General features: G+C 43.5%; 1 protein-coding gene across 5 annotated transcripts in view; it reads left to right on the forward strand.

Moving 5' to 3' along the window:
- DNAH9 (dynein axonemal heavy chain 9) overlaps positions 1–8657 on the forward strand; it is a 371279-nt gene extending 362622 nt beyond the window's left edge. For all 5 annotated transcript variants that reach the window (XM_011523703.3, NM_001372.4, XM_017024292.3 and 2 more), the window contains 2 exons: positions 776–1165; positions 8209–8657. In XM_011523703.3, coding sequence (XP_011522005.1) covers positions 776–1165; positions 8209–8436 — 618 coding nt within the window. In that variant the 3' untranslated portion in view covers positions 8437–8657. The remainder of the gene's footprint in view (positions 1–775; positions 1166–8208) is intronic.

Here is a 12368-nt window from a genome sequence, read left to right on the forward strand (position 1 = left end):
ATCACTTGAGGTCAGGAGTTCAAGACCAGCCAGACCAACATGGTGAAACCCTGTCTCTACTGAAAATACAAAAATTAGCCGGGTGTGGTGGCAGGTGCCTGTAATCCCAGCTACTCAAGAGACTGAGGCAGAAGAATCACTTGAACCTGGGAGGCGGAGGTTGCAGTGAGCAGAGATTGCACCACTGCACTCCAGCCTGGGCAATAGAGTGAGACTCCGTCTCCAAAAATAAAAAAAAATAAAGATGGTGTTCAGTGTAAACCTTTCTTTACAAATCCTATCTAGCTGTTGAAAGAGTGTCCCTTAAAGTTGATTACATATCCAATAGCTCGATTTCTGAAAGAAATCCCTGATTTGGGGGAATATAGATCTTTGTAGGCGCTGGCTTCTTGGGTTTCTAAGCTGCATGCAGGAGAGTCATGGAATTTAAGCTTTAGGCTAAGGTCATGTGGCACTGAACCCACAAGTGGTTTAAGGTCTGCAATGGGAAGCAATTGTGTCTTTTGAAACACTGTGAGTAGAACAGTTGAGACTCTGACATCAGAGCAGGGAGGGTTTTCAAGGACCAGCTTCTGTGAGACAAACCTTCCAAAGCAAGTACTAGACAGGACAGTCATTGTGTCACCTACCCCTGGAGTTTTATGTTCAAATGACATGAACAAGGATGGATAACTCTTGTCTGCCTGGGTGCCATGAGCCAGGGGTCTCTGAGGCCAGGTGTTTTCAGGGACTTCCCACCTTCTCACGCTTTCCCCCTCCCATTCTTTATCTTCAGGGGGAGCTGACTATGACCAGCCACATGGAGAACTTACAGAATGCCCTGTACTTCGATATGGTGCCAGAGTCCTGGGCTAGACGAGCCTACCCTTCCACAGCAGGCCTGGCAGCCTGGTTTCCAGACCTCCTCAACAGAATCAAGGAGCTAGAGGCTTGGACGGGTGACTTTACAATGCCCTCCACTGTGTGGCTGACAGGCTTCTTCAACCCCCAGTCGTTCCTGACTGCCATCATGCAGTCCACGGCTCGCAAGAATGAGTGGCCACTGGACCAGATGGCCCTGCAATGTGACATGACGAAGAAGAACAGAGAAGAGTTTAGGAGTCCTCCTCGGGAAGGGGCCTACATCCATGGCCTCTTCATGGAAGGTGCCTGCTGGGACACACAGGTAAAGCTTGGAATGAACCAAAGGGCAGCTTTCTGGGGGCTGATTAAATACACATTGCTTCCTATGAAGTGTGACTACTAAAAGAGATATTCCTGAATCTTTTTCTCTAGCTAACCTTCTTTCCTTGAGGCCATCAGGCCATTTTTATTTAGCCAGGGGTGGTGCAAAGAGCGTAAGTTTTGCAGAGGCAGTAGAGTGGAGAGGTTAATAGCAAGGGCTTTGGAACCAGACTGGCTGGGTCTGAATCCCAGCACCACCATTTATTAACTCTGTAACTTTAGATATAGTTTCACCTTTCCAGACCTCACCTGTTAGATGGGAGAAGAGCGTCATTGTAAAAGTTAAACGAGCTAATATGTAAGACACTTGAACAGTGCCTGGCACATAGGCAGTTATCAAAAAATGTTGGAGTCAGCTATCTCTGCTGCTGCTGCTGTGTGTCTGTCGCCCAGGCTGGAGTACAGTGGCACGATCTTAGCTCACTGCAACCTCCGCCTCCCGAGTTCAAGCAATTCTCCTGCCTCACCTCCTTGGTCCACTTTCCACATTCATGAGCTCTCAAAGGGCAGGAATCTTCTGCCTTTTATGTTGTCCTATGTTGGCAAAGAGGAGCCAGTAGATATCACTTAAAGTGGCATTTTGAAAGGATTCCTTATCAAAGGCTAATAAAAACGTGAGTCACATGAGATTGGAGAAGATGTTTTGTCACCAATAAGAATATGCAAATAGAGATTTACTTGGTTAAGTAGTGCCCCCAAAAATTCATGTCTAGGCATAACCCCAGAATGATTATTTAGAAATAAGGTCTTTGCAGATGTAATTAGTTATGATGAGGTCATACTGGATTATCATGAACCCTAAATCCAATGACCAGTGCCCTTATAAGAAGACACACAGGTCGGGCACAGTGGCTCACACCTGTAATCCCAGCACTTTGGGAGGCCGAGGCGGGCAGATCACCTGAGGTCAGGAGTTTGAGACCAGCCTGACCAACATGGAGAAACCCCATCTCTACTAAAAATACAAAATTAGCCGGGCATGGTGGTGCATGCCTGTTATCCCAGCTACTCGGAATGCTGAAGCAGGAGAATCGCTTGAACCCGGGAGGTGGAGGTTGCAGTGAGCCGAGATCGCACCATTGCATTCCAGCCTGGGCAACAAGAGCAAAACTCCGTCTCAAAAAAAAAAAAAGAAGACAACGACCACATAGATGGGCACAGATATGGGAACAATAGACACTGGATTATTAGAGGGTGTAGGGAGAGGTGGGGGTTAATAAAAACTAACTATCCGGTACTATGCTCACTAACTAGATGAAGGGATCCATACTCCAAACCTCAGCATCATACAATATTCCCATGTAACAAATCTGCATATGTATCCCCTGTATCTAAGAGTTGAAATTTTTTTTAAAAAAAAGAAACTAAAAGGAAAAGAGATGGAAAATTTTGTTGAGACATGTTTTATAATGCTTACCATTCTAGTGGATATAGCAAGTAAAGTCTCATGGAGTATATTAGCAGTAGGAAATGTATTCATTCATTCCATATAGGCTTGCAGTTAAACAAATTACCTCAAAAAAACAAAACAAAGAAGACCATGTAGAGACACAGAAGAGAATTCCCTATGAAGACAGAGGCAGAATTGGAGTGATGTATCTACAAGCCGAGGAATTCCAGGGATTACCAGCAACCATCAGAAGCTAGGAAAGGTATGGGATGGTTTCTGCTTCAGAACCTCCAGGAGGACCAACTCTGCCCATACTTTGACTTAGGACTTCTGGCCTCCAGAACTGTGAGATAATATGTTGTTTCAAGCCATCAAGTTTGTGGCATTTTATTATGCCAGCCCTAGGAAAGCAATTCAAGAGCCAACAGAAAGGACAGTAAAGTAGGGTAATGTTTAGAAAGCCTGAATCTTGAGAAGGAAGTTGACTTCCCTCTCTCCACCTGAACATTTGCACAAGATTCTGTCAGTGGAGATCATATATGGATTGCATTAGGTATAAGGTGGCCTAGAGCAAGCCACAGCTATTAATAGAATCCTCCAAACCACCAAAATGAGAGAAGTACCAAAAGGAAAGTAGGCAAGAAGCTCAGAAGGAAAGTCAGTGACACTGGAAGTGGGGGAATGATATCAGTTTCAATTGTCAACCTCCCATTTTTCATACCTCATTGTAAATAATAATAAAAACTTCCCCAAAATCAATACTTCTTCACCAAAAGCTGTTGTTCTCAAAGGTTTTATCCCAGAAAGATGTCGGCAAAAATGGAAGAGTCAGGACCTCCTAAAATCCTCTCCTCCATAAAACAATGAGAACATTCACAAAAACTGAGTCAGAATCAACTTTCTTAGAATTCTGGAAATTAACCAAAGGCTTTCAGCAATCCAAGAAGTGTTTACTCAAGCAAAACAGCTGAATCTCAGTAGGAAGAACAGTCTATGGCCTTTTAACTTGTCTATTCCCATCTCAACCCAACCCCTAGCTTGGAGGTTACCTATAAAACCAACAGACCACAATCACAGTGAAACCAGTAGCCTGGAAACCACTGGAAGGGGCAAAATGGGGTTGGAGCACCTTCAAAGCCCTGTTCCCCACCCCCCCACAAAAAAACTGTCATTATTTTGCCTGTCCAGGGATTCCCTGGACTCACAAGTCTTTATCTCACCTGAGTTGGAACTCACCCAGGGCAACAGTCTTTTTCCCCAGGGCATTTGTTGAAGACAATCAAAGACAACTGCTTAACACTGCAGTTTGTCTGAAGCAGTAGATAATAGTGGTGCAAACAGTAGGCTAATCAAAAAGCTTAAAAGGGCAAGTCGGAGAATGAGATGGCCATAGGGGGCTTTGAAAACCCCTGACATGTTCCTGGAAATCTAGGCCATGCCTATGTGCAGATCTGTGCACCCATCCACAGCTGTGGACATGCTCAAGAGAGTTGAGAAGGCAGTACACTCTAGCTAACCTTGAGGTTCTAGGAAAACAGGGGAGTGAAATCTAAGCAGAGTTTTAAACTGCCTGGCTAAGCACTGAAGGTGTGCTCCAACACTTGCACACAGCCACTCAGCCAAGACTTTGTGACTTATTGGTTCTAGGCATTTGAGAAAATCTGTCCAATTATTTGGTGACCTCTAAGCTAACAGAGCAGGCCACTTCAGTGGCCATACTTGACAAAGAATATAGACTTTACAGAATCAGTTCAGAAAAGTCACTAAACAAACCCTGGCAAGAGAGAGAATATGATTTGCAGAGTGGCCACATTATTTAAAATGTCCAAGTTTTCAACAAAAAAATTATGATATACAAAGAAACAAAAAGCAATGGCCCATACACAAGGAAGAAAGCAATCAACGCAAACTATTCCTGAGGGGGATCAAATATTGGACTTGCTAGACAAAGACTTTAAATCAGCTATTTTAAAGATGTTCCAATAACCAAAAGAAACCATGTCTAAATAACTAAAGAAAATTGTGTGAACTATGTATCACTGAATAGAGAATACAGAGAGAAAAATTATATATGTTTTTAAAAAAATAAAGTAGAAACTCTGGATTTGAAAAATATAATACCTAAAATGAAAACTCAGTAGAGGAATTCAATAGCAGAATTGAATAAGCAGAAAAATCAGCAAATTTAGAATCAGATCAATTGAAATTATCCCGTTAGAAGAAAAAAATGAGAAAATGAAGAGTCTCAGAGACCTGTGGGACACCATCAAGCATAACAACATATGCACAATGGTAGTTTAGAAAGGAAAGGAGAGATAAAGGGACAGAAAGACTATTTGAAGAGATAATGACCCAAAACTGCCCAAATTTGAAGAAAAACATTAATTTACATTAATTTACATGTCCAAGAAGCTCAGTGAAATCCAAGTAGAACAAACTCAGAGATCCATACCAAGACATATTATAGTCAAACTGGTGAAAGATAAAGAAGAAAATCTTGAAAGCAACAAAAGTGGCTCATCACTTAACAAGGGGTTCTCAATGAGAGTAATAGCTGATTGCTCATCAGAAACCATGAAAGAGGAAGGCAGTACGATGGCATAGTCAAAATGCTGAAAGAAAAAGACTATCTGCCAAGAATCCTACCTGCAGCAAAACTCTCTTTCAAAAGTGAAGAAAGTGAGACATTCTCAGATTTTTTAAGAGAGAGAGACAGAGAGAGAGAGAATTCATCACTAGTAAACCAGCCTTATAGGAAATACTAAAGGGAGTCCTTCAGGCAAAAGGAAAGGATACTAGACAGAAACTCAAGTCCACACAAAGATATAGAATATTGACAAAGGCAATTACATATGTAAGCATAAAAGATAGTATAAATGCATCATTTGTAATTTTTATTTCTCTTCTATCTAATTTAAAGGACAACTGCATAAGGAAATAATTATAAATCTGTGTTGATGGATAGAAATGTATAAAGATGTAATGTAAATGATGAAAACAGCACAAAGGAGGGAGAGGGAATGGAGCTATACAAGATTAGCTTTTGTATACCATTGAAAGTAAGCTGGAATTAGGCTGGGCACAGTGGCTCAAGCCTGTAATCCCAGCACTTTGGGAGGATGAGGTGGTTGGATCACTTGAGGTCAGGAGTTCAAGACCAGCCTGGCCCATATGGCAAAATTAGCCAGGCATGGTGGCACACACCTGGAGTCCCAGCTACTGGGGAGGCTAAGGCAGGAGAATTGCTTGAACCCAGGAGGCAGAGGTTGCAGTGAGCCGAGATCATGCCATTGCACTCCAGCCTGGGCAACAGAGTGAGACTCCATCTCAAAAAAAAAAAAAAAAAAAAGTAAGCTGGAATTAATCTGAAATAGATTGTTATGTACATTAGAATATTTTTTGTTTTTTGTTTTTTTTAAGACTAGGTGACTAACTTTGCCACCCAGGCGGGAGTGCAGTGGCATGAACAGGGCTCACTGCAGCCTCAACTTCCTGGGCTCAAGCAATCCTCTTGCCTCAGTTCCCAAGTAGCTGGGACTACAGGCATGTGCCACCATGCCCGGCTAACTTTTTTGAATTTTAATAGAGATGAGTTCTCCCTATGTTGCCCAGGCTGGCCTCCAACTCCTGAGCTCAAGAGATCTTCCTGCCTTGGCCTCCCAGGGTGCTGAGATTACAGGTGTAAGGCACCATGCCCAGTCTTAGAATGGTAATTGTAATCCCCAAGGCAACCACTAATAATTTAAAAAATAGTAAACAAGGGAAATTAAAATGATACACTAGCGTATATCTGGTAATACAAGAGAAGACAGTAATGGAGAACTAGAGAAATAAAAAAGACATATAGAAAACGAATAGCAGATTCTACTTAATCAGTGATTACATTAAATGTAAATGGATTAAGCAATACAATTTTAAAAAGGCAGAGATTAGCTAAATGAATTTTAAAAAACAAACCATGAAACCCATCATGATCCAATTATATCATTTCCACAAAAGACACGTTTTAGATTGGAAGATACCAATAGGTTAAAAGAAAACAGATGGAAACAGATATGCCATGCAAACAGTAACCAAAAGGCAGCTGAGAGGCTATACTGTATCAGACAAAATAGACTTTATAAGGTAAAAATTGTTACTGAAAAATAAATAGGATAGAAATTATAGAGACAAAAAAAGGACATTTTATGAGAATAAAAAGATCAACCCATCAAGAAGATACAATTGTAAATATGTATGCACCTAACAAAAGAGCCCCCAAAATATACAAAACAGAAACTGACAGAATTAAAGGAAGAAGTAAACAATTCAACCATAATAATTGGAGCTGTCAATACATCCTGTTAATGGTGACTGCTAATGATCATAGAGTTTCTTTTTGGGGAGATGCAAATGTTTTAGAATTAGACAGTGATAATGATCGTACAACTTTGTCAACACACCAAAAACCACTAAATTATACACTTTAAAAGGATTGGTTTTACAGTATGTTGGGGAAAAAAAAAGAGGTTCTACCTCTGTTCCTATTCCTTGCCATACACATTCATCTCTATGGGGCAAGGAGGTCCCCACTGTTTACCTTAATTCTGTTACTCACCATCCTTTACCTCATCAGCCTCTAAAAGAAGTGAAGAGCTACATCCTTCCCTTTAAATAAATTTCACACAAATAAACCAAACTTTGTCCATGGCATAAAGGCCTCAGAGTCACATGGACACAAAGAATCTGTGAAACACTCTGAATCAGCATTTCCCAAAGTATGGTCCATAAGGCACTAGTGCTATGGGAAATGAATAGGTTGCAAAGAGAAAGGTCCTGTGGTCAAATAAGTTTGGGAAACACCAGGTTAAATAAACTGTTTTCTTTATTGCTAGGACTTCTTGTGTTCAGTGTGGTAGTGTATGTTGTAAAACGTCAAGTCCAGAATATGGTAAGCACCACTTCCCAAATTTATTGGACCAAGGGAGACTTTGGCTCCGCAGAACATTTCTCGGGACTAGTAGGAAAAATTGCTCTGTACAGCTGTATTGAAATAGCTCAGAAAATCATAGGGAGGCCTCATCTGGAAAGCTACAGAATACTCAGGTCCACATTACATGAGTAAAGATAGAATGTAGCCCTCTCCACTCTAGAGGATGGAGGAAGTTGCATATGAAATAGAAAAGAAACAGAAACAGGACATAACAAAAGCTTTAAAAGCTAAAGCATTTACTGGCAGAAACTGTGTCTTAGTCATTTTTAAATCCCCAGCACCTAGCCCGACATCTGGCAAATATACACATTCGATATGCTCATGAAATGAATTAATGAAAAAACAAACTAGGAGAGAATCAAGCTCCAAAGGGATTCATTTGTATATGATAATAGCTTTTGGAACTCTGCTTCACCTGATTTAGGCAGAGAAAAATAGAAACGTGTTTCTACATATCAGATGCATTCCATCAAAGGCTGCTGAGAAAACCTGGAAGGGGGCAGGCATAAAGGCAGCCATGTCAGTCCAGTCTTTCCTCCCTTGGATCTGCTGACAAGAGCAAGGCTGGTTGGCTGGGCTCTGGGTCTGATCTAAGGTGCCTCTTCTCATGTTTTATCCTCAGGCTGGGATCATTACAGAGGCAAAGCTGAAGGATCTGACACCCCCTATGCCTGTGATGTTCATCAAGGCCATTCCTGCAGATAAGCAGGACTGCCGCAGTGTCTATTCCTGTCCTGTGTACAAGACTAGTCAGCGGGGACCCACCTACGTGTGGACTTTCAACCTGAAGACTAAGGAAAACCCATCCAAGTGGGTTCTGGCTGGAGTAGCCTTGCTTCTCCAGATTTAGCATCCTGCAGAGCCACCGAGAAAATAAAAAAGCTGGGCTTGGAGGCTGCCTAGAGGGACAGGTGGGTGAAGGGTCACCACAGACACTTAGAACGGTAAGAAACCATGAGCACTCACAATTCTGTAGAATTCCTCTAGGGAACTTGGAGAGGTGTGCCTAAGGTGAGGCTGAGCTGAAGGAATGTGGGCCCAGGTTTCTTAATAAAATGATTTACTCTTCAACTGTGTCTGGCCCAGGATTTGAGAGCTGCTGAATCATAAATGATCATGTAGAGACCAAGAGAAACAAACCACAAGGGCCCTGACCTTGTTACACAACACTATCCTAGGTGCTCTTCTTCCAGGCTACCCCACGCAGTCCTTGGACCAGTGGTATTGGCATCACCCATGAACCAGAATCTCCATTTTAACAATCTCTCTGGAAAATCTGTATGCACATTATAGTTTGAGAAACACTATCCTGGAGCAGGGGTCACCAACATTTTTCCATAAAGAGCCAGTTAGTGAATACTTTTAGTGATTTACAGGCCACAATGCCTCTGTTTGAACTTTGCAACTTTGCCGTGGTAGACCAACAGTAACCATAAATGATGAGTAAATGAAGGGGTGTGATTGCATTCTAACAAATTTTATTTACAAAAACAAGCAATGGGCCATATTTTGCTGATCCCTGCTGTAGAGGATAAGGGATGTGTATACTGATATTTATCCTTCATTAATTCATGCATCCACTCAATACATTTTAATCTGACACCTACTATTTGTTGTGGATACAATGTGAACAAGCAAACAGGAAGTATCTCCATCATCCTTTCGATCATTTAAGAGGAAGCCAAGAAGAAATCTTTACTGTAAAGCCTTTTTTTTTTTTTTGAGATGGAGTCTCGCTCTGTCACCCAGGGTGGAGTGCACTGGGGCAATCTCTGCTCACTGCAACCTCTACCTCCTGGGTTCAAGCGATTCTCCTGCCTCAGCCTCCCAACTAGCTGGGATTACAGGCGCCTGCCAACATGCCTGGCTAATTTTTATATTTTTGGTAGAGACAGGGTTCCACCATGTTGGTCAGGCTGATCTTGAACTCCTGACCTCAGGTGATGTGCCTGCCTCAGCCTCCCAAAGTGCTGGGATTACAGGCGTGAGCCACCGCGCCTGGCCATTCTAAAGCTTTTTAATCTAAAAGTTTTCTAGATTTACCTCCGTGGAACAAATTTTCACTGGAAGTCCAATGGGTTTAACAGTTTTGATGAGTTTTAAAAAGCTCTATGAGGCAGCTTGTTTGGTAAGAAAAGTATGGGAGGACCCAGTATTCCTTCTGTGATTATTCCCTCCTAACCTTGCAGAAACTTAATTTTGTGATTACTGTTTTGAACAGTGGTTCTTAAACTTGAACAGGCATCAGAATCCCCTGGAGGGCTTGTTAAAACAAAGATTACTGGGACCCGCCCTTCAATATTTCTGATTCAGTAAGTTTAAACAAATTGCCAATGCTGCTGGTCTGGAGGCCAGTTTGAGAACTCGTGATTTAAAACCTCAAATCCCATCATCCTATAAATCTCTGCTATATAGAATATGGAATCTGATGCTAATTCCTCTATGATTTTCCTGCTTTCTTCCTTGCAGTTCCTGCACCCCCTAAGTGGGGCCTTCTCATCTTCATGATACAAGGGAGTTAATAAATTTTACTGCTGGAAGCCAGGACCTCCAGCTTGGGTGTTGTCCCTCCTCTCCCATCAACTAGTAATGCACTTGCAGTTTCCTGACTATAGGTTAATCTGTTTTCAGGGAGATAACTCTGTCCACATTAGCATCATCCTTCCTGAGCCTCACCCATAGTAGTATAATAACATCAGGCAGGCCGGGCACAGCGGCTCATGCCTGTAATCCCAGCAATTTGGGAGGCTGAGGCAGGCGGATGACAAGGTCAGGAGATCAAGACCATCCTGGCCAACATGGTGAAACCCCGTCTCTACTAATACAAAAATTAGCTGAGTTTGGTGGTGCGTGCCTGTAATCCCAGCTACTCGGGAGGCTGAGGCAGGAGAATTGCTTGAACCAGGGAGTCGGAGGTTGCAGTGAGCCGAAATCACGCCACTGCACCACTGCATTCCAGCCTGGCGACAAAGCAAGACTCTGTCTCACCAAAAAAAAAAAAAAAAAAAAAAAATCAGGCCTAAAGAAGGAGGTGGAAGATGGTGGGAGGTGGAAGATGGTGGGAGGGGGAAGTCTCACTGTCAGGCCTCTGAGCCCAAGCCAAGCCATCGCATCTCCTGTGACTTGCACCTATACGCCCAGATGGCCTGAAGTAACTGAAGAATCACAAAAGAAGTGAAAAGGCCCTGCCCCGCCTTAACTGATGACATTCCACCATTGTGATTTGTTCCTGCCCCAACTTAACTGAATGATTAACCCTGGGAATTTCCTTCTCCTGGCTCAGAAGCTCCCCCACTGAGCACCTTGTGACCCCCGCCCCTGCCCACCAGAGAACAACCCCCTTTGACTGTAATTTTCCATTACCTTCCCAAATCCTATAAAACGGCCCCACCCCTATCTCCCTTTGCTGACTCTCTTTTCGGACTCAGCCCACCTGCACCCAGGTGAAATAAACAACCATGTTGCTCACACAAAGCCTGTTTGGTGGTCTCTTCACACGGACGCACATGAAATTTGGTGCCGTGACTCGGATCGGGGGACCTCCCTTGGGAGATCAATCCTCCGTCCTCCTGCTCTTTGCTCCATGAGAAAGATCCACCTACGACCTCAGGTCCTCAGACTGATCAGCCCAAGAAACATCTCACCAATCTCAAATCCGGTAAGTGGCCTCTTTTTACTCTCTTCTCCAACCTCCCTCACTATCCCTCAACCTCTTTCTCCTTTCAATCTTGGCGCCACACTTCAATCTCTCCCTTCTCTTAATTTCAATTCCTTTCATTTTCTGGTAGAGACAAAGGAGACACGTTTTATCCGTGGACCCAAAACTCCGGCGCCGGTCACGGACTGGGAAGGCAGCCTTCCCTTGGTGTTTAATCATTGCAGGGACACCTCTCTGATTATACACTCACATTTCAAGGGTGTCAGACCACACAGGGACGCCTGCCTTGGTCCTTCACCCTTAGTGGCAAGTCCCGCTTTTCTGGGGAAGGGTCAAGTACCCCAACCCCTTCTCTTGTCTCTACCCCTTCTCTGCTTTTCTGGGGCAGGGGCAAGTACCCCTCAACCCCTTCTCCTTCACCCTTAGCGGCAAGTCCCGCTTTCCTAGGGGGCAAGAACCCCCCAATCCCTTATTTCCACACCCCAACCTCTTATCTCTGCGCCCCAGTCCCTTATTTCCACGCCCCAACCTCTTGTCTCTGCGCCCCAATCCCTTATCTCTGCGCCCCAATCCCTTATTTCCACACCCCAACCTCTTATCTCTGCGCCCCAGTCCCTTATTTCCACGCCCCAACCTCTTATCTCTGCGTCCCAATCCCTTATTTCCACGCCCCAACCTCTTATCTCTGCGCCCCAATCCCTTATCTCTGCGCCCCAATGCCTTATTTCCGCGCCCCGACCCCCCCCTCCCGCTTTTCTGGAAGGTAAGAACCCCCGAACCCCTTCCCTCCGTGTCTCTACGCTCTCTTTTCTCTGGGCTTGCCTCCTTCACTATGGGCTTGCCTCCTTCACTATGGGCAAGCTTCCACCTTCCATTCCTCCTTCTTCTCCCTTAGCCTGTATTCTTAAGAACTTAAAACCTCTTCAACTCTCACCTGACCTAAAATCTAGGCGTCTTATTTTCTTCTGCAATGCCGCTTGACCCCAATACAAACTCCACAGTAGTTCCAAATAGCCGGAAAACGGCACTTTCAATTTTTCCATCCTACAAGATCTAACTAATTCTTGTCGTAAAATGGGCAAATGGTCTGAGATGCCTGACGTCCAGGCATTCTTTTACACATC

This window comes from Homo sapiens, chromosome 17 (assembly GCF_000001405.40).
Source record: "Homo sapiens chromosome 17, GRCh38.p14 Primary Assembly".
Lineage (NCBI taxonomy): Eukaryota > Metazoa > Chordata > Mammalia > Primates > Hominidae > Homo > Homo sapiens.